Source organism: Homo sapiens, chromosome 8 (genome assembly GCF_000001405.40).
Source record: "Homo sapiens chromosome 8, GRCh38.p14 Primary Assembly".
In the NCBI taxonomy this organism is placed as follows: Eukaryota; Metazoa; Chordata; class Mammalia; order Primates; family Hominidae; genus Homo; species Homo sapiens.
In genome coordinates, this window is record NC_000008.11 from 21,917,255 (window position 1) to 21,936,887 (window position 19,633).

Below are 19,633 nucleotides of genomic sequence, written 5' to 3' on the forward strand. Positions count from 1 at the left end.
AAGTTACTGCAAGTGCAAAGGCCCTGAGGCAGGAGATCCTGGCTTTGCAGAACTGCAAGGCCAGAATGACCACAGAGCATTGAGCCAGAGGGGGCATGGTAGAGTGAGGTCAGCTCATACGACCTCTTGAGCCACAGCAAAGATTCGAATTCTAAATGCAACATGAGGCCACTTAAGGATTTTAAGTAGGAGTGTAAATTATCTGAATTATGATTTTAAAGGAATGTTCTGGCCAGGCGCAGTGGCTCACACCTGTAATCCCAGCACTTTGGGAGGCAGAGGCGAGTGGATAACCTGAGGTCAGCAGTTCCAGACCAGCTTGGCCAACGTGGTGAAACCCTGTCTCTACTAAAAATCCAAAAATTAGCCAGGTATGGTGGTGGGCGCATGTAATCTCAGCTACTTGGGAGGCTAAGGCAAGAGAATCGCTTGAACCAGGGAGGCGGAGGTTGCAGTGAGCAGAGATGGCGCCATTGCACTCCAGCCTCGGCAACAGAGCAAGACTCTGTCTCAAAAAATAACAAATAAATAAAATAATGTTCTGCAGCGTCCAGCTATATGGAAAATGGGTTATCAAGGGGCAAGACAGGAAGCAGGGAAACTAATTAGGAATCTATTACCAGAGCACAGGAGAAAGGTAATGGTGGCTTGGACCAAGGTGTTAACAGTGGAGATGGATGGAGAAGTGGTCATATTGGGTATATATTAGATATAGATTGAACAGGACTTGCAGGTGACTTGCATGTTGGGGACTGATAAGACTTGAAGAACCAACTCCTGAGTGTTTATTAGGAGCAACTGGATGAATGGTGGTACCATTTACTGAGGAAGGGAAGACACAGGGAGAAACACGGGGAGGTTGGGGTGCGGGGGTGGGGGAAGGGAGGGTGGACAGAAATTTGGGCCTGGCCCACTGTGAAACTGTTACCTCTATTCAGTCCAGTAGGGAATCCAAAGAATTTCCATTGCAATTGTGACTCTGAGAATATTTCATTGCCCGATGCCAGGTTCAGAAAGCCACTGACCCCATCACCCCGCCTCTTTATACGCTCGGAGCTAATGATTGGACGCTGGGAGGTTTTGGGGAAAAACAAAAACCCAACATCTGAAAAGGTCTATGCTCGCTAGAAGTTAACAGTCAAAAGCTCTGCCACTTAAATCTTCTGCCTCTTAAATCTTCTCTGAGTCAGCCTAATTGGCAGAGCCTAATTTGCATACAGAACCCTAGCTGCAAGGAAGTTTGGGTAATGTAGTTTCCAGGTGCCCTACCTCTGCAAACCAGGAAGACCTACTAGGAGGACGGAAGTCGAAATGAATGCTGAGCACCGGTCCACTACATCCACCAAGGGTGTGTAATTCACTACCACCATCATTTGCATATGATGGTAGTCCCCTGTAAATACAAACTTCAAACAATCAGTGCTCTCAGAATCCAGCTATGATCTAACCTGGGGGCCTTAAAAGGAAGCCACAGTGGAATCCAATGGAAAACAGGAACCGGCATTATCTAACAGATAATTCCTAGTGAGGAAGACTGGAATTGGCCTCAGCATGCAGGGGCTGACCTTATCTGACCCAGAGAGATGGCTTTCCCACTCATACCTCCACAAGACCGAGCCTAGGGGTCCTAACCACCAGCCCCGCTGCCTCTTCCAGCATCTGACCCTCTCGGGAGGCAGTCTAGAGTATTGGCAACGAGGACAATGTCTTTGGGAAGCCAGAACTGTGCCTTCGTATGTTTTGATCATCACCACCATTCGGTGGTTATTTCCATGAATGTTTATCAAGGACGAAAGGACAGAAATGAAAAACACGAGATCAACCACTGGGGTTGCTGGTGAAATCCAGACCAGAGAGCGATGGCCCTGGTCCAGAAAGCTAGACAGACACAAGCACAGAATCGGCCCCCGTTGAGTAGAGGGCATTGGAAAGTAAGGAATCTCGCAGGCAGCCTAGGTGGGGTGTGGGGGGTCCCCGTAGCTGCAGGGTGGGGTGGGGGTGGGGGTGGGAGACGTCCAGGGGCGAGTCAAGGGGGAAGACGGTTGGGAAGAGAGGAAGCCACTGGGTGCAGGGGTCCCGGGGCGGCGACAGACCTCGGCCCCCATCCAGGAGCCCTCACCACGCAAACGAGCAGAAGGCAGCGCCAACTCCCACTCCAGCGCCCGCCTGCCGGAGCGAGCGCGGCCCCTTTAAAAACCATGTAAACAAAGCTTTGTTCCCCCAGCTGCCCCTCCTTCGCGCTCCCCCGGCCCGCTCCTTCCTCCCACCCGGCGTCTCCGGGCCGCTGACGTTGCCCGCGCCTTTACGCCGTCCCAGCGGTGCTGCGCATTCTCCAACCACGGCCCGGGCCGCCGGGGCCTGCGCAGCTGAGCGGCGCTACGCCACGAGCGCAGCGCGACGAGTCCCCAGCGCGCAGGCGCAGCGGCGACGGCGTCGGCGGCGGCGGCGGCAGCGGCTCCGGCCGAGGTGCGCGCTGGGGGGGAGGGGGGGCCGGAGAGGAGCATGAATGGAGCAAAATGGCGGATCATGTGCAGGTGAGAGGAGCCGCGGGGGGGAGGGGGCGACCACGAAGAGCGGCGAGTGGAGTCGGGGGTGCACACGGCCCACAGGGCGCCAGCCGGCTCGGGACTCGGCAGGCCCGCGCCGCCGCCACTCGGGGCTCTGGAGCCGCCGCCCGTCCCGGAGCCCCGGGGCCTTTCCCGCCTCCCGGGCCGGGGGCCTTCTCCGTCCCCTCCCACCCGGTCCCACACCTCGCGCGCGGGGCTGCAGGGACAGGAACGGGCATCCCGGCGCGCGCAGCCCACAACGTTCGTCAGTCACTGTCTTCGTCCCCGGGGGAGGCCTCCGTCAAGTCCTCGGGCCCCCCCGCCCGCCCCCCGGTGAAGCGAGGGGGACCCCCTTGCTGACTTTACTGAGGGGGACGCCCCCATGACGCCCGCCATCCCTCAGCAGATAACAAAAAGGAAACCTCGCGCTGATAAACCTCGCTCTCCGGAGTCTTTCCCGCCGCCTTCCTCTCACGCCCCGGAATACGAGAGACCCCCCAGCAACCCCGGCCTCCTTCCCCCTCCCACGGATGCGCCCTTCCCTCCGACACTCCAAATCGTACAGCCCGGAGGGCCGAGCTCCCCGGTCTTCCAAAATGGGTGCTCAGGCCTCGGCCCGCCTCCCCTCGCGTCCCCCTAGCCACAGTGAAGGAGTTGAGCGCCCACACCTCCTATGAAACACGGGGTGGAGGGGGGTGTGTCTGAAATGAGAGATGCAGGGTTGGGTGCAGACGTTGCTCGGGAGGGTCTTGATCCGGCTCAAGAGCTGCTCCTAGCGTGCTGTGGGGCCAGGCCACTCTCCTCAAAGACAGGCACAGGCCCTAGAAAGGGACAGCCCATACCAAACCCAGTAGCAGATGGAGGACTGCAGGGTTTAATTTCTTGCAAACTAGATAAAGTTTTTCCTGTCTGTGCCAGAGATCTGATATTTTTATGACAGTTATTGATGCACATCCATTGTGGGGAACCTTCCAATTTTCTAGGTAACCAAGTGCACAGGTTTTGTGTTGTGGCAAGGAAAGATTAGAGGGCAAGAAGTGTCGCCTTTATATTCTGTGGCATCATTCCTCAAGTAAGAAGAATGATCTCATTCTTAATACGTCTACAAGAATCTGGAGTGGTGTGACTTCTGCCCCTTTCTTTGGAGAGAAGGGACTAAATAAAAGACTTAATTTTCAGGCCAGAGATCAGTAAAGTAGATCTTCGGAGTGTGCGGGACAAGTTGTCAGGACAGAATTATAGCAAGAAACGTAATCACAGGTGGAAAACCACGGGATTTGTGTTTCAAAGCCAGTACCTTGGCTTAATTCAGAAGTGACAGTAAAAGTTGATACAAGGAGATGATAATAATGATAATAATAATAGTATAGCACCTTGCGTTTTATAGCAGTCATTTCTAAGAAGCATGAAATATTTTATGTGATTTTTAAAAATTCTTGGATCTTACAAGACTCAGGCAGGAATTACTTCTGTCATTTAAAGGAACAAAAACCAAAGCACAAGAATGATAATGAGATTTGGTTAAGGTAAGTCTAAGTGTCCCAAAGTCTTTGGAGTTTGGGTCCAGTGCGCTTCCTTACTGGGGGTTGGGGGGATGTCTATGAGCATTCTAGAACAGGCTTTGAATAGATAGCCTTTGTGAACCATGCTTCGGAATGCAGAGGGAGTCAGTACTTTTATGAATATACATCGTGCTATTTGCTGTTTCCCGTAAAGAAATATCTCTTAATGTGATCTCCCACATTTTCGAAGCATAAAGGTTGTCATTCCTGTGAAAGTCAGGATGCATCAAAGCAATCTTCACAGCATTTGTCGCTCCAACGAAGGTCTGTCTTATTTTTAGTAAGATGTTGTTCTCCCACTCACCACTCAAAAATCTACGGAAGTAAGAATTTATTAACTTTTCAAAACAAAGGGGAGCATGTTGATCAGTGTTTTATTGGTACCCTTTATTTACTTTTAAGAGCTGCAATCTGTTGGTCTAAATTAGTGCTTAGTGGTCTTCATATCAACGGGGTAAGTTTGTGAGTGAATTTTTTTCCCTTTAGAGAGAATGGGACATACTGCTTTTCTTTGTCAGACCACTAAGTGTTAATAGTATTGGGCACTCACAGATGTTAAGGTGGTACTTTATTGTGGCAGAAAACCTTCTTATGAAAAAGATACACGCTTCCCTAGGTATAATGAGTAAATAAAGGATTCATTAAAGACAGTCTGCAATGCATTGAGGGGAGGGTGGCGGGGATATTTTTCTTATAACACTAATCAAACGTGAAGTTTATAAAGGTGTCTGCTACAGATTCATGACTGATTATTGGAGAGTTGCATTTGTTGAACTAAATAGTCGAGTCATTATGTTATCTAGTGCTTTTCTGAACCACCAGGGTGAGCAGTTTTTTCATAATTGAGGCTGAGTGTCATATGATTCTCGGGTTCTCTCAGGCTGATGTCTTGGATATCTCTCTTCTAAGGATATGTATTTTATGGACGATTTTAAGTGCTATAAAACTTTAGTAATGGGAAAATTATAATATTTGGATTGCCCTTTAGCTCTGTTGATGTTACAGGCAAGTGTCTGTAGAAGTGTGCCCTTAAGCAGCTCCTCGATGTGATGGGTTTCTTACTCTTGGTCTTAGATAACCTTATCTAACTTTCACCCTGAAGGCAGGGTGGTTACAAAGCTTTGCGTGGGAGAAAAAAATCAAACTTACTTATGTGTGTTTAATTATGTTTAGTTGCCCTTCCTTTCATGTTTTTTTTAACATATCTAAAGCTGGTAAGTTATCGCAAAGAGATGAAGACAACGCTCAGTGAACAGTGGTGATGAAGAAGATTAAGAAGGATCAGATGTTAGTTTTAATAGTGCTAGCTGGTGTTCAGGAGCTCGAGAGGAAAAGGAAGGAAAGAATATGATTTATATATCGAATATGCTATTTAATATGAATTATATTAGTTTTACCATAAATAATGGAAATGAAGACTGATTCCAGGATTTTGCTGGAATTACTACGTTGTTGTGTTGGGTCTTATTATTTACTGGGCTTTGCATTATGACTGTACTAGGAGAATGTACTATTTGCAAAGTAGTCATAGTTTGTTTTAAATTCCAGGCACAGTAATTAAATATTGACTACCAGTGTAACTCCAGGGAGTTGTGAAGAATCATTACAACTTGTCAGGTTAAATTTTAGCAGGGTGCAAAAAGTCGGCCTGATTATAGCAAAAGTGATGGTTGTTTTTTCAGCTTTTAACAATATGCAAGGAAATGATAAGTGCTATGGGTAGTCCATTTTGAAAAGGGAGTTCCGTACAACTTTTGAGAATTTTAAATGGAAAAAACATAACTTTTCTAACTTTTTTCCAGTTCGACTAATACCAGAATGCTTAGTGTGTGCAAGGCCCTTTCTGTGCTGGGCACTTCAGAGGATTCAGAATGAGAAAGACACTGGAGCCAGACTGCTGAAATATCCAATTCTGATGCTCTTTTGGCAGGCTTCAGGAGCACACACGTAGATACAAGAAAGAATACATTGATTTCAAAACATGCTACATCTGTGTTGGGTGATAAGCAATAACTATATCCCATCACCCACTCCCACCCTGATTATACCTCTTTCGTGGGTTTATACAAATAATATGTGTGTATTTTATTTCATTATTTTACTCCTATTCAACACCACACTGGAAATGTCTGTATTTAAAACATATATATCTATATATTTACTTGATTACTCTGACTTTAGTATATTTCCTGAGAAGCCTTGAGAAAAATTAAGGGATGTATATATACGTGTGGGATCATTCAAACACTTAACACAGAAAAAACAAAATACAGTACAGTGATGGAAGAATCTCTAATTTAGATGAAGGTATAGAAAGAAGTATCAGGAAGATCCCTGTTCTATATCTTACAGAGAAATTAGCTTCCATTTGACCCAGAAATTGATGTTCATAACCACCAGCTGTATTTTCTTTTTTCTTGGTTGGGTTTTGAAAGCAATATTGTACCACAGCCTTTCGAGGTGGGAAAGTTGCCAGTTTAAACCAATAAGCTAATGTCTCTCTGTAGGTACAACTACTGAGGCTACTTTGCCCACTTCAGTATGTGCAAGGAAGATAGTGTTTTGAAACTGCATCTTTTTAAAACACCTAACATTATCTCACATTTTCTCAGGGTTAGGAATCTGGGAGTGGCTTAACTAGATGGTTTTGGTTCAGGGTCTCATTTGCAGTCAAACTCTCAGCTGGGGCTCCGGGCTGCAGTCAATCTCAGGGCTTGACTTGAGGATAGAGAATTTTCTTTAGGTTTACACACAGCGGGCCTGGTCAGGCCTCAGTTCCTCACTGGCTGTTGTCTGGAGGCTGCAGTTCTTTACCAATGGGCCTCTCCTAGTGCATCATTTTTAAGGACTTCATTAAATTCTGTAATGATATATGCTGTGTATAAGTGACCCATCTTTGTTATTTTTTTCAAAAACTTTTTATTGAAATATATACCTGCAGACAGGTACAGAAATCATATGTGTTCAGCTTGATGAATTTTCACAAAGTGAATACTCCTTACTAACCAGCACCCAAATCAAGTCAGTATTATCGGTGCCCCAGAAGTCCCCTGATACCATCTCAACAGCTACCTGTAGCCCCCCTCCCCCCCCCACCCCACTAACTACTATCCTGTCATTTTATTTTTAAATCTGCTTTTAGAACTCAAGCTGAGTAACCTGAGAGTTTTAGCTTCAAAGCCAGGGGGAGAAGCAGTACAGAGCAGTGATTATACAGCTTTGGGGGGATTTATTTCATAATATGATGGAAGCTATGTTACTGCTCTCTGGTGGGGGTGGGGAGAGTGTGCCTACACAAAATTTTACCCACAATTTTAGGCCATTCATGAACCTTGATAACTAGAGTTTAAATATATGTTTCTTTTTAGATGAAAATGCTCACAACATTTTATTGAGAAACTGATTTACAAGTATTTCTCTTTTGACTTATTTGAAAAGCAAGTTCAGGACCACGATAAATGTTCCTGGAGAGTTACATGCAAGCTGAATTTTTAAATATTGAAATAAATTCTTGAGGATGATTAATGGTGACCACTTAAGCATCTACTAATATCCCATTTTTGTTACTGTGCAGACACATAGAAGGAAATACAAGATGTGATATTCTACTTCCAGGGCCTTACATTGAATTGAGCATCACAACAAGCCTGGTCATTGAGTTGTGAATTTGTAGTGAGACTGGTTTTGTCGACATGTCCCTGAATGGGGGGCAGTCACTACCCCGTTATCTTTTCCCCCATTCCAATACATGTCTGGAATACATTCATTCCTAACATTTATAGTGACTCATTACTAGGAAATTCTCAATGGAATGGGATTGGTACCCAGGAGGCATATCAAAATCTTGGGGGAGGGAGAGAGTTGTAAAAAACCTAGATCCTAAGTATTTCTGATATTTGCTTCAATGGCTGTTCACCCCTTCGCACATGTGTGCATGCACACAAGGACACACACACACTCCTACTGCCATAAAATGGGAAGGATGTATTTAAGAGAAGGCAGAATTGGAAACTTCATGCTAGCATTAATTGATATCATTTAATGCTCACCGCAGCAATGTAACATCGGTATAGAGATAATAGTAATAGAATTTTCCTTGAAATAAGCTGATTAAAAGACCTGGTATCCCTGGAAGACTGGAGAACTCGCTGTTGGAAGATTTAGATGATGTTCATGGTGGTGGTTATTGTAAGACTTACTGGAGTGTGACTTGGTTGGTCATAGGGAAAGGGGGATACCAGTATTAACTGAGTGTCTGTTATATGCCAGGCACCATGCTAAGCCTTTTATAGTGTTATGCCATTTAATTGGGAAACTCGTTTGGTCTCTGAGCCTGGATTAAGTGATCTGTGAAGTCCCTTGTACTTCAAGCATTCTGGATGGGATTTCCAGTTGTCATCCTTGTATTCTCTCCCCAATATAGCACCGTGTTCTCAATTCATATGTACATGTTTGTAAAATTCCTTAAAATATTTATGCTCAAACCAACATTTCCATTTTATCTATCTTAAATATATCTTCCTCTTCTTTACGCCTAATTTCTTAAACTCCCAGAGTTTTTTTCTGTAAGATCTAGTCATCTGTAGCACTTCTCACAAATTGAGCTCTCTTATGCCCCAAACAGTAACGAAAGAGGTCTCTTAGTTGGACAATAAGCAGTGAAAGATATTTCTTATGGGACAAGAAATTAACATTATTAGTCAAATGTTGATGCCGGTAGGCTGAGAAATGATTCTCACTTAAAAGCCCCTGGGTTTTAAACCTCTCTTAGAAAAACATTAGTTAGATGAAAAAAAAAATCAAAATATTTTCCTCTGGAAAACAATGTTCCTCTGAAAACAAGCAGATTATTAAAATATCCCTTGTACTACTTCAGGAAATTGTAATCTTATAACTGTAGTGGCCTTTTAGCTTTTAAATATATGAACTTGAGTTGGACACATGCTGATCTCATTGGTACTTTGCATGATAAGAAATTATGATATTTACAATGTGCAGTCTCAGAAAGAACTGAGAGTTTTGCTAGACATTTGCCCTAAAGTTTGAGTCAATTTATGGTTTAAAGGGGTGTATTTAAGGCTAGAAAAGGGAAATGAAGGGTTTTCTTAGGATTTTTTCCAATTCTATTTAAAATTGTTTGCAAAGTTTTGAAAGCATATGTCATGAGTTTGGCAAAAATTATTTCAAAGCTTGTTTTTTTTTTAACCTCATTCACCTCTGCTAACTCCTGAACTTCAGTGCTTTACTTCTGTCTTCCAAAAAGACGTTGTCTAAAATTAGTCATGAAATTTAACTTAACTGTAAGAACTTGAAACATAAAGTTTGCTCTGAAAAAGATCTGGGAAACCTGATGTATATTTCACATATCAATACATCTGTTGATGTATTGATAAAATCTATACATCTCAGTTGAAAAAAAATCTAAATTTTGCCCAATATATAGCCACAAATTATTTAGAATGTAATGTTCGTGTTAGTAGGTGATATTTTTGTCTTCAGCTTGTCATTGACCCATCTAAGGATCCCTGCGAGGTCTTGTCAAAAACTAGCCTGGGGCATACCCAAGAATTTTAAAGATTAAATAAAACTTACTGGAAAATGTGACCTTGTTTTCCTTAGTCTTAATATTTTGAACTGATAATGTTCCAGAACTGAGCAACTTTCTTCAGGCCTTCATAAAACCAAATTAAATTGTTTTTAGGTGAATTGAACCTGAGCAACAGGGAGTATTTAAGGACAGGCCAGGCAGGGGCACACATGCTTGTAGTCCCAGCTACTGGGGGGGAGGCTAAGCTGGGAGGATCACTTGGGTACAGGAGTTCAAGTCCAGCCTGGGTAACATAGCAAGACCCCAAGTCTTTTAAAAAAAATTAATTAATTAATTTAAATTAAATTCAAATAAAATAAGGACATTATCCCACAGGTGTTACAAATGAAAATTTGTTGTAATGTAAAGGATTATTTACTAGTTCTTGGAATTCTACAGTTAGCCACACTCCATACAGGGAGAGCAGAATGTTGTGAGCAAGAAGTTTTAATTTCACAGAATTCCTAAAACCTGTCCATTCAGAGCTGTTTGGTTTAGGTTACTGTTAATGTACCCTAGAGGTTCCCAAAGGCACATTTCGTGTTAACATTGATAGCATTGATAGGGTGAGACTTAAAAAAAACCAACCTTTTTTTTTTTTTTTTTTTTTCTTAAGATGGAGTTTTGCTCTTGTTGCCCAGGCTGGAGTGCAGTGGCGCAATCTCGGCTCACGGCAACCTCTGCCTCCCGGGTTCAAGCAGTTCTCCTGCCTCAGCCTCCCAAGTAGCTGGGATTACAGGCATGCACCACCACGCCCAGCTAATTTTGTATTTTTAGTAGAGACGGAGTTTCTCCATGTTGGTCCGACTGGTCTTGAGCTCCCGACCTCAGGTGATCCTCCTGTCTCGGCCTCCCAAAGTGCTGGGATTACAGGCGTGAGCCACCGCACCTGGCTGACCCAACTTCTTATCTATTCCTCCCATACCCGTCCCCTCAAATGTAAACAGCACTCACAAAAGTGGATATTTGGTTCATAGAGATTACTGTTGTGTAAATCTGTTGCCAGTGGAATAAAATCTTTCCTTTTTACTAAAATTTTATTCGTACAGTAAACTGCATCCATTTAAAGTGTACAAATTGACAGATACATACACCTGTGACTCCGGGATCAAAATATGGAACATTTCCTCTTTGCAGTCTGTTCCTCCCTCAGCTCTCAGACCCACACAACCCTGTTCTGCTTTCTGTCACTATAAATTAGTTTGCATTTTCTGGAATTTTATATAATGGACTTACTGTATACTCTTGTTTTCTGACTTCTTTCACTCAGCATAGTAACTCTGAGATTGATTCTCATTGTTGCATAGTAGGAGTGCTTGGTTACTTTTCATTGTTGCCAAGTATTCCGTTGTATGAATATATCACATTGGATGTATCCATTCACTCTTTGGGAGACATTCAGGTTGTTCCCAGTTTTTAGTCATTGTGAATAAAGATGCTGTGAATATTCATATACCAGTCTCTGTATGGATGTACATTTTTATTTCTCTTGAGTACCTGGGAGTAGGATGGCTGAGTCTTATTGTGTATGTTTACATTTTTAAAGAAACTGTCAATTTTCCAAAATGACTGTACCTCGAGTTATTTCATAACTTCGCCAACATTTAGTATTGTCATTCTTTTTGCCTTTCTAGTAGGATCTTGTGTTTTTAGTTTGTACTTCTTTGATGACTAACATGTTGAGTATCTCTTCATGTGCTTACTGACATTTGTATATCTCAGGCTTGCAAACCAGGCTGGTGTTTTGGCCTGACAGCCTGTTTTTGTATGGCCTGCACCCTGAGAATAGCTTTTACATTTTAAATGGTTGAAAACATCTAAAAGAATAATACTCCATGTTGCATGATAATTATATGAAATTCTGATTTCACTGTTCGTAAATAAGTTTTATTGGAACATGCATTCATCTATGTATCCCGTATGGCTATTTTTGTACCACAGTGGCAGAGCTGAATAGTCTTGACAGACATTTTGGCCTAAAATATTTACTTTCTGGCCCTTTAGAGAAAACATTTGCAGACTTCTGGTAGATCTTCTTTGGTGATGTGTCCCTTCAAATCTATTGCCTGACTTTTGGGTGGAGGACGTACCAGCCCAGTATGTTTCTAACCCAAGCCCAGTTTGACAGGAACTGCATCAAGTTCTTCAGTTGTACCAACCACATTTCAAGTGCTCAGTAGCCACATGAGGCTAATAGCTACCATATTGCATAGTGCAGATATAAAATATTTCCACTCTCATGGAAATTTCTATTGGACAGTGCTACTCTAGAATAAACTTGCCGCTGAACCAAAGGGATTAGAAGCAAAGTGGAACATAGGTTATAGGATTGCTTTCCTGGATGTCGATAAAAATAAGCTAGATCCTCGTCCTCTCAGATGTGTGTGAATGCAAATGGATATATTTTGTTATCCATGTATGTCCTGTTCTCTTGGCCAAGTGATGAGAGGAAGCAGTTAACTCATAAAAGAAATTCAGAATTTTACTGATAGGAAATAGTGTTTTAAGGGGAAAAAAACAAGTGTTAACTTATCATCTGCCAAAGCATTTTGCAAAGAACAAACCTTCTAAAATTCCCATATAGTTGTAACTGTTTTACAGATGAGATGGAGAATATGAAGGGAGATAGTAAACCATGAAATCACTTTTTCCTGGTGCTAAGTCCTGATTCACTAGCAATCGTAGTTCTCTTCAGCTTCTAATTTTAAAGTATTATTTACCATAAAGTTTTTCATAATAGCATGAGTTTTGAAAATAATTCAGAAATATTCTAAGTTGAAATGGCTAAGATAGCCTATTTTAAGATTGAATTTAAAGGGTTTTTTTTTTCCCACTGTAAACTGTTTTGTGTGACTGCGATAAGGGGCAGGCATAACTGACTCTAAAGAGTGAAGTGGAAGTCAGTAAATCTGTGATTACATAGTCATTCTCTTTGGCAAAAATATTATGTAATTATGAATTATTTTGTTCTTAACATAGAGATGTTTGTAAGTTTTTGGTGATTCATCACTCATGTCAATATCTCCCTAATCCATCCTAGAAATAAATGTTTTGCTGAAGTAGGAATCTAAATGCACCAGCTAACACTGAGAAGGTGGAGGAAATGTGTAATGAGTGGATGTTTTAGAGGCACCCAGAAGGATATGTTTTAAAACAACTTCTGCCATTTCTGGTTTCAAACATGGTTTTTGTCACATTCTCTAATTGACCAAATGTATTTTATGTACACCCTAAATGTTCACCTATTTAACAGAATAGTATTGTTTAGAATGGTATTATCCTTCTGGTTATTTGGTGAGATACACACATCAGTAAACATTCCCTCATTTGGCTGGTATTGTTTGATCATGTACTGTGTGCCAGATTGTTAGGCAATGGGAATATAAATGTGAATAAAATACAGTGTCCTTGCTCAAGGACCTGAATAGCTAGAAATGTATGCCAATAAGGGTTATAGAGTGAGATCGGTGATAGGACACATCTATGCATAGAACATAAGACGTAAGGGTCAGTCCTCCCTTGGAGATCCAGGAAAGCCTCTTAAAGTGGTGAATAATTAAGCCAGATCTGAAAAGGCCTGGTGTCCTCCAGATTGATAAGAGCACACCAAGCAGAATACCATAGATAAAGCTATATGTATGTTCACTTAACATTCCAGGAAAGCAAATATGGCTTCTGTGGAGGAAATCAATGTAATGGTAGGAAGAGACCAGGACATGAAGTGCCTGTTGTAGCATAATAATTGTACCGTAGGTGTGTGGTTGAAGGTTTTTAAGTAGAGTAACTGAATAATTACTGCAACAATGTTATAGGAAGTTGATTATCTGTTATCAAGTTGAATTAGAACCCACATTTTTTTCATAGTGAAATTCCATTTCAATAGCCTTTAGATGTTGTAAATATCTCAGATGTCAGATACTGTTGCCCAAGCTAGAGTGCAGTGTTGCGATCTCCGATCTCAGCTCACTGCAACCTCTGCCTTCTGGGTTCAAGCAATTCTCCCACCTCAGCCTCCCAAGTGAGGCTGGGACTACAGGCACGCACCACCATGCCCAGCTAATTGTTGTATTTTTTGGTAGAGACAGGGTTTCATCATGTTGGCCAGGCTAGTCTTGAACTCCTGACCTCAAGTGATCTGCCCACCTCTGCTTCCCAAAGTGCTGGGATTACAGCCATGAGCCACTGTGCCCACCCCATGCCTATCTTATTTCTCTCTCTCTTTTTTTTTTTTTAGACAGAGTCTCGCTCTGTTGACCAGGCTGGAGTGCAATGGCGCAGTCTTGGCTCACTGCAACCTCCGCCTCCCAGGTTCAAGTGATTCTCCTGCCTCAGCCTCCCAAGTAGCTGGGACTGCAAGCGCCTGCCACCACACGCAGTTAATTTTTGTCTTTTTAGTGGAGGTGGGGTTTCACCATGTTGGTCAGGCTGGTCTCGAACTCTTGACCTCAGCCTCCCAAATTGGTGGGATTACAGTCGTGAGCCACCGTACCTGGCCCATGCCTACCTTATTTCTTATTAACTTACAGCAACCGCAAGACTTGAGTGAAACACTGGTATTTTATTCTGTTTTGTTTGCTGGAACAGCCTCAGATTCTGTTACCACTGACAAGAGTAAAATGTTTTTTACAACCAGCAATGAAATAGGCATGCATTTAATTTATTGGCATGCATTTAATGCAAGAAAGAAGAGGTCATAGTCTCAGGAGTTTGAATAAATCATGAATTGTTGACTGCTCTGGCTGCCAATACCCCTTAAAGGTTTCTATCAATTCTACCTTAACTACTCTTGGTCTGTTTTGTCTCTCCATCCCATGTTTTAACTATTAGAAAACCAGATTCATTCTCTATCCTCTATCAACTGTTGTTTCAAGGGTATCTAGAAAAGGCTTCTTTTTTAAAATCTTCTATTCTGCTAGAAGATTACTTTATTTATTTATTTTGAGACGAAGTCTTGCTCTTGTTGCCTAGGTTGGAGTGCAGTGGCGCGGTCTTGGCTCATTGCAACCTCCGCCTCCTGGGTTCAAGCGATTTTCCTGCCTCAGCCTCCCTTAGTAGTTGAGATTACAAGCACCCACCACCACGCCCAGGTAATTCTTGTATTTTTAGTAGAGACGGAGTTTCACCGTGTTGGCCAGGCTGGTCTCGAACTCCTGACCTCAGGTGATCCGCACGCCTCCCAAAGTGCTGAGATTGCAGGCGTGAGCCACCACGCCTGGCCAGAAGCTTCTTTTAAATATGCTGTTTGCCTGGTCTTCCTTATTTGCTGACTTGATTAATAAAAAGCATTTTCTATAGATCATACAGCAGTATAAACTTGAAAAGCAAATTGATATTTTACAAAACTATTAAGGGAAAAATGATTTAGAATTCCAGAGAATGAGAAAACTAGCAATCTGTGGGGCGTGTACGTCAAAACTTCTTAAGAAACATTTACTTAATATTCTTTTTTACTTTTTTGTTTGTCAGAGGGTAAATATGAAACCCTGAATTCTTTGCTTCTGTAAATCAAAATAAAGGGTTCCAGGATTAAGTATTGTGATTGCTTTTATCTTTCTTCCCTTTAATGTTCTGTTTCGAGTTTCTTATGCTTCTTTCTTGCCGAATCTTCTAAAGAAGTACACGTGGTGTTTTGGGTTTTCTCATGCGAAAAGGGATAAGGAGGGCCAAAAAGCTTTCTTTTGAATTTTTATGCAAGTTAAAACTGTCTGTCTTCTTCCTTTATGCCTTTATTTCTTATCTCTTCTTTTATTATTTCTAACGTTTAAATGTTTAGATGACAATTGGACCACAGGTCAGTAGGCCAGGGGGGATGCTAAATGTTAATATAGTCTAGCGGCTAGTCGTCAACTGTAGGCTATTCATTGTTTATACCTGTGATATAGAGGTGTATACATGAGTAAATAACATACAGAATGGGAGCATTCAAGGAAAGTTGGCTGTAATGTATATTTAATATTCACATTGACCTCTGTTTAATATTTAATATTCACATTGACCTTTGTTAGAGAATCAAAGGTGTGTTTCTACGGGCAAGGAAATATTCATTGGCATGTGGTATATGGTAGTATTTTACTGCCGGGATTATAGGCATATATCACATTCTAAGGTTTTAGAACATGATGGAAATTTACTTCTCCTTTTGCTGGATTTTTTTTTTTTTTTTTTTTTTGAGATGGAGTCTTGCTCTGTCGCCCAGGCTGGAGTACAGTGGCGCGATCTTGGCTCACTGCAACCTCCACCTCCTGGGTTCAAGTGATTCTCCTGTCTCAGCCTCCTGAGTAGCTGGGACTACAGGCATGTGCCACCACACCCGGCTAATTTTTTCTCTTTTTAGTAGAGATGGGGTTTCACCATGTTAGCCAGGATGGTCTTGATCTCCTGACCTCGTGATCTGCCTGCCTCGGCCTCCCAAAGTGCTGGGATTACAGGCGTGAGCCACTGCGCCCGGCCCCTCCTTTTGCTGGATTTTACAGTGTTATTGTTGTTACTGTTATTTAATAGATAATATAATACAGTTTGAAAATTTCTCTAATTTTAGGCCTCAAGGCTATATATATCATTAGTTTCCTGAGTACATGTACAAGTCTGTTTAGCATTGAAATATTACCCTGACTCTTGTTTTTAAACAGAGACAGCATGATTCTATTAACACTGTAACATTTTTTATATTATATTTTATTTATATGGTGAGTCTATTAAGAAAGCATTGTTAAACCAGTTAACATTTCTCTACCAGGTCTACCCCTTTTGTTTGCCCATAGCTGAATATTTATGTTTCATTTGTGAATGCAGAAATTTTACTGTGTGTCCATGGTATTCAGAATAGTAACTGTTATCAGGTTAATGAGGTGATACTAGAATCACATCGTTTTTAAGCTAGGAAAAAATCTTAGAGTGTGATTATGCAGTAAAAAGAATTTATACCCCCTTTTTTTAGAGGGTAGCTAACTGTATATTGTTTGTTAGAGATAATGTATGAATTTTAACTTTTCCAGCCATTAAAATCTTAATTTTGTTATGTTGTTAGCATAATGAAAGAAAATGTACAAGTAAACATGCTTAAGGTTTAAACGAGAAAATGTTTTTTTCAGTTGTACATTGTTCCAGGGCAAATACTGTGCTACATAGTAGAGATAAAGCAGAGAACAAAATAGGCATGTCCTTGCTTTCGTAGTTCTTATAGATACTCAGTAAATTATACCAATAAATATATATTTATAAATTGCAATGAGTGCTGTGAAGAAAAGTGTTGTAATGAAATATTTTGGCCAGGTGCGGTGGCTCATGCCTGTAATCCCAGTACTTTGGGTGCGGTGGCTCATGCCTGTAATCCCAGCACTTTGGGAGGCCGAGGTGGGCGGATCACCTGAGGTCGGGAGTTTGAGACTAGCCTGACCAACATGGAGAAACCCTGTCTCTACTAAAAATACAAAATTAGCCGGGCGTGGTGGCGCATGCCTGTAATCCCAGCTACTTGGGAGGCTGAGGCAGGAGAATCACTTGAACCTGGGAGGCAGAGGTTACGGTGAGCCGAGATTGCGCCACTGCACTCCAGCCTGGGCAACAAGAGCGAAACTCCGTCTCAAAAAAAAAAAAGAAATATTTTAAGATAGAGAACTGATATTTTTATTTTGGGGTGACAGTATTCACTGAAAGAAGGGGACAGTGTACCAGACAAAAAGAAATGACATGTTGAAAGTTCCTGAGGAGACAAAGACGTGGATGAACTGTAAGGAGACATCCCAACTGAAGCTTGGGGAGCTAAGGAGGCAGTGGGGCTCAAGAGATTAGCAAGAACTAGAATATGATGGATTGCTATGCAGGCATTCAAGCCAGATTTCCAGAGATTTGGGTGATTTATTAAAATGCTAATTCCATAAATTAGGAAAAAGCATGGAGTGAAGCCTTGTGTAAACATCTTGACTATGATTTTCAGTTGCAGGGACTCACGCAAGGTGGATTGTAATAGCAAAAAAGTGAAAGTACACCACAAAGCAGGTTGTGACATCTGTGTGATTAATGAAGAAAAAACTTCATATGTTTTCATTTGGGCTGTTTGTTGGAATTAGGTCATAAGAAATGATAAACTAAAGTAAGGACATTTGCATTGTATGTAGGCATTACCAAGACCAAAAACCACACTTCCCATTTGCATCAGGACAGTCACAAAGGAGCTTTCATGCTTACTGCTCTGGGTTTTAGTTCTATTAGGTTTGGGCCCTAATTGATTTTGACTACTCTATGATTAGTACAGCCAGGCATCTAAAAGGACTTTTATATTTAAATAGCAGCTGTAGATGTTTGTGGCAGGAAGTTTCCATGCTAACTAGTTTGCCATATTGCTGGAACCAAAAGTCTCAACCAAGTTTACACAGAGTTTTCAAATGCATTATTTCTTTTTATTTTTATATCAAGGTGCAGGCTTCTTTCAGGTGAACAAACTAATTGGAAATTAATTTGGACATTTTGCCTAAAGTCCTACAAATAGTGAGAGTCAGGATTAAAATTCTAGTTTTAAGCTTGATGTTCAGGTATCTTTCCAGTACTCCCTCCTTTCCATTAAATACAGATAGTCTTAACTCATATATTTGGTGTGTGCATTAGTTTTCACTGACTAGCTTGACCTTTTGCTTTTTTCTCATAGATAGGACTTTAAGACGAATTTGTTTTATTAGACCGAATTTGGAGGAAGCATTGAATTTTGAAGCAAGATCTAAATTTTAATCCATTTAGTAGTGGTGTAGTAGTGTAGTAGAAGGTTAAATAACCTTAAGAGCTTTAGTTTTCTTATATATAAAATGGTGTTGGGCTTCCTACTAATTAAATCCATGGCCCTTCTCATGCCCATGCAGAGTCCACGTGAGGGGTGGTATGGGCAAGATATCTTTCTCTCTCTCTCAATCTCTCTCTCTCTGTCTCGTCTGCAAATCCCACAAACTCAATCAGCTTTCCTCATTTTTTGGTAGTTGCCACTATTCTGTCCCTTGGGGTTTTCTTTTCTCAAAACCTTTTTGTGGAGTATTTCTCTCCAAAACAACCTTGTAGAACCCTTTTTTGCCCCAATTGCTACAGGAAAGATCGACTGGGCATAAAATAACAACAGTATTTATTGAGCTCTTACCACCTATCAGACAATTTGCTAAGTGTAAATTCCTTTAGTTTCCAGTCTTTTAATGTCTGCTAACCCTACCTCTGCTAAAATTGCCTGGGACCACTCTTGAACCTACTGAATCAGGGTTTCATTGTGGCATGTTAATTTTTTTTAAGATCAGCACCCTCAAGTCATTCCGATTAGCAGCCATTTGTGGATCACTGATAATTATTCCTTCTACCATGGCCTCTGTCTCTGTGTCCAGAAGATGCAGTCAATCAACAGAACAATTTTTGCCCTTTTGTTTCATAGATGTAATTTGAATCTCATAGTCTGCAGTCTTGCCCAGTATCCATGTCACTAGATTTCTGCCCTGTGAAGAATGTTTGATGCTTATTTTCACCAATGTTACTATATGTATTAAATGATACATACTCTAAAGATAGTCTCAAAAGATTAATCTCCCAATTTTGATGACTCTTCAAATTTCGTGAAGCCACAAAAGCAGAATTTCCTAAGTATTTTTTTGGCTCATTGGTCTATCACCTGTTGCCCACAATAAGGATTATTTGATCTTAAAAGTTGGAAACTATGTATTGTATCTTTCTCTTAGACATTTTTGGTGTATATTAGCATACTAAAGACTCTTAGGAGTTCTTCTGTTTAAAAATGATTTTACTTTGGTTAACTGGGCAGTTCCCAAACTGGAATTTTTTTATCATGTAATCCTATTAGTGGCCAGTGTGAAACACTCACTCCTTTATAGGTAGAATTTTCTGGGGGTTTTTCTCTTCTTTTTTCATTTGAAAAAGAGGAATAATATTTACTTCATATAGGGTGGTTTTGC

At 41.4% G+C, this 19,633-nt stretch overlaps 1 protein-coding gene across 4 annotated transcripts in view, besides 1 other annotated feature; it reads left to right on the plus strand.

Annotated features, from left to right (window-relative positions):
• Positions 2,325-2,764: a silencer, noted in NCBI's record as "silent region_18974". NCBI's record gives its function as "represses an Ori minimal core promoter by ATAC-STARR-seq in GM12878 lymphoblastoid cells {active_cell/tissue: GM12878}" and the evidence as "EXISTENCE:reporter gene assay evidence [ECO:0000049][PMID:35858748]".
• XPO7 (exportin 7) overlaps positions 2,408-19,633 on the plus strand; it is an 86,924-nt gene continuing 69,698 nt past the window's right edge. For all 4 annotated transcript variants that reach the window (NR_156173.2, NM_001100161.2, NM_015024.5 and 1 more), the window contains exon 1: positions 2,408-2,534. Coding sequence is in view for 3 of the 4 variants with exons in the window: in NM_001100161.2 (NP_001093631.1) it covers positions 2,517-2,534 (18 nt within the window). In the remaining variant the exon portion in view is untranslated. The remainder of the gene's footprint in view (positions 2,535-19,633) is intronic.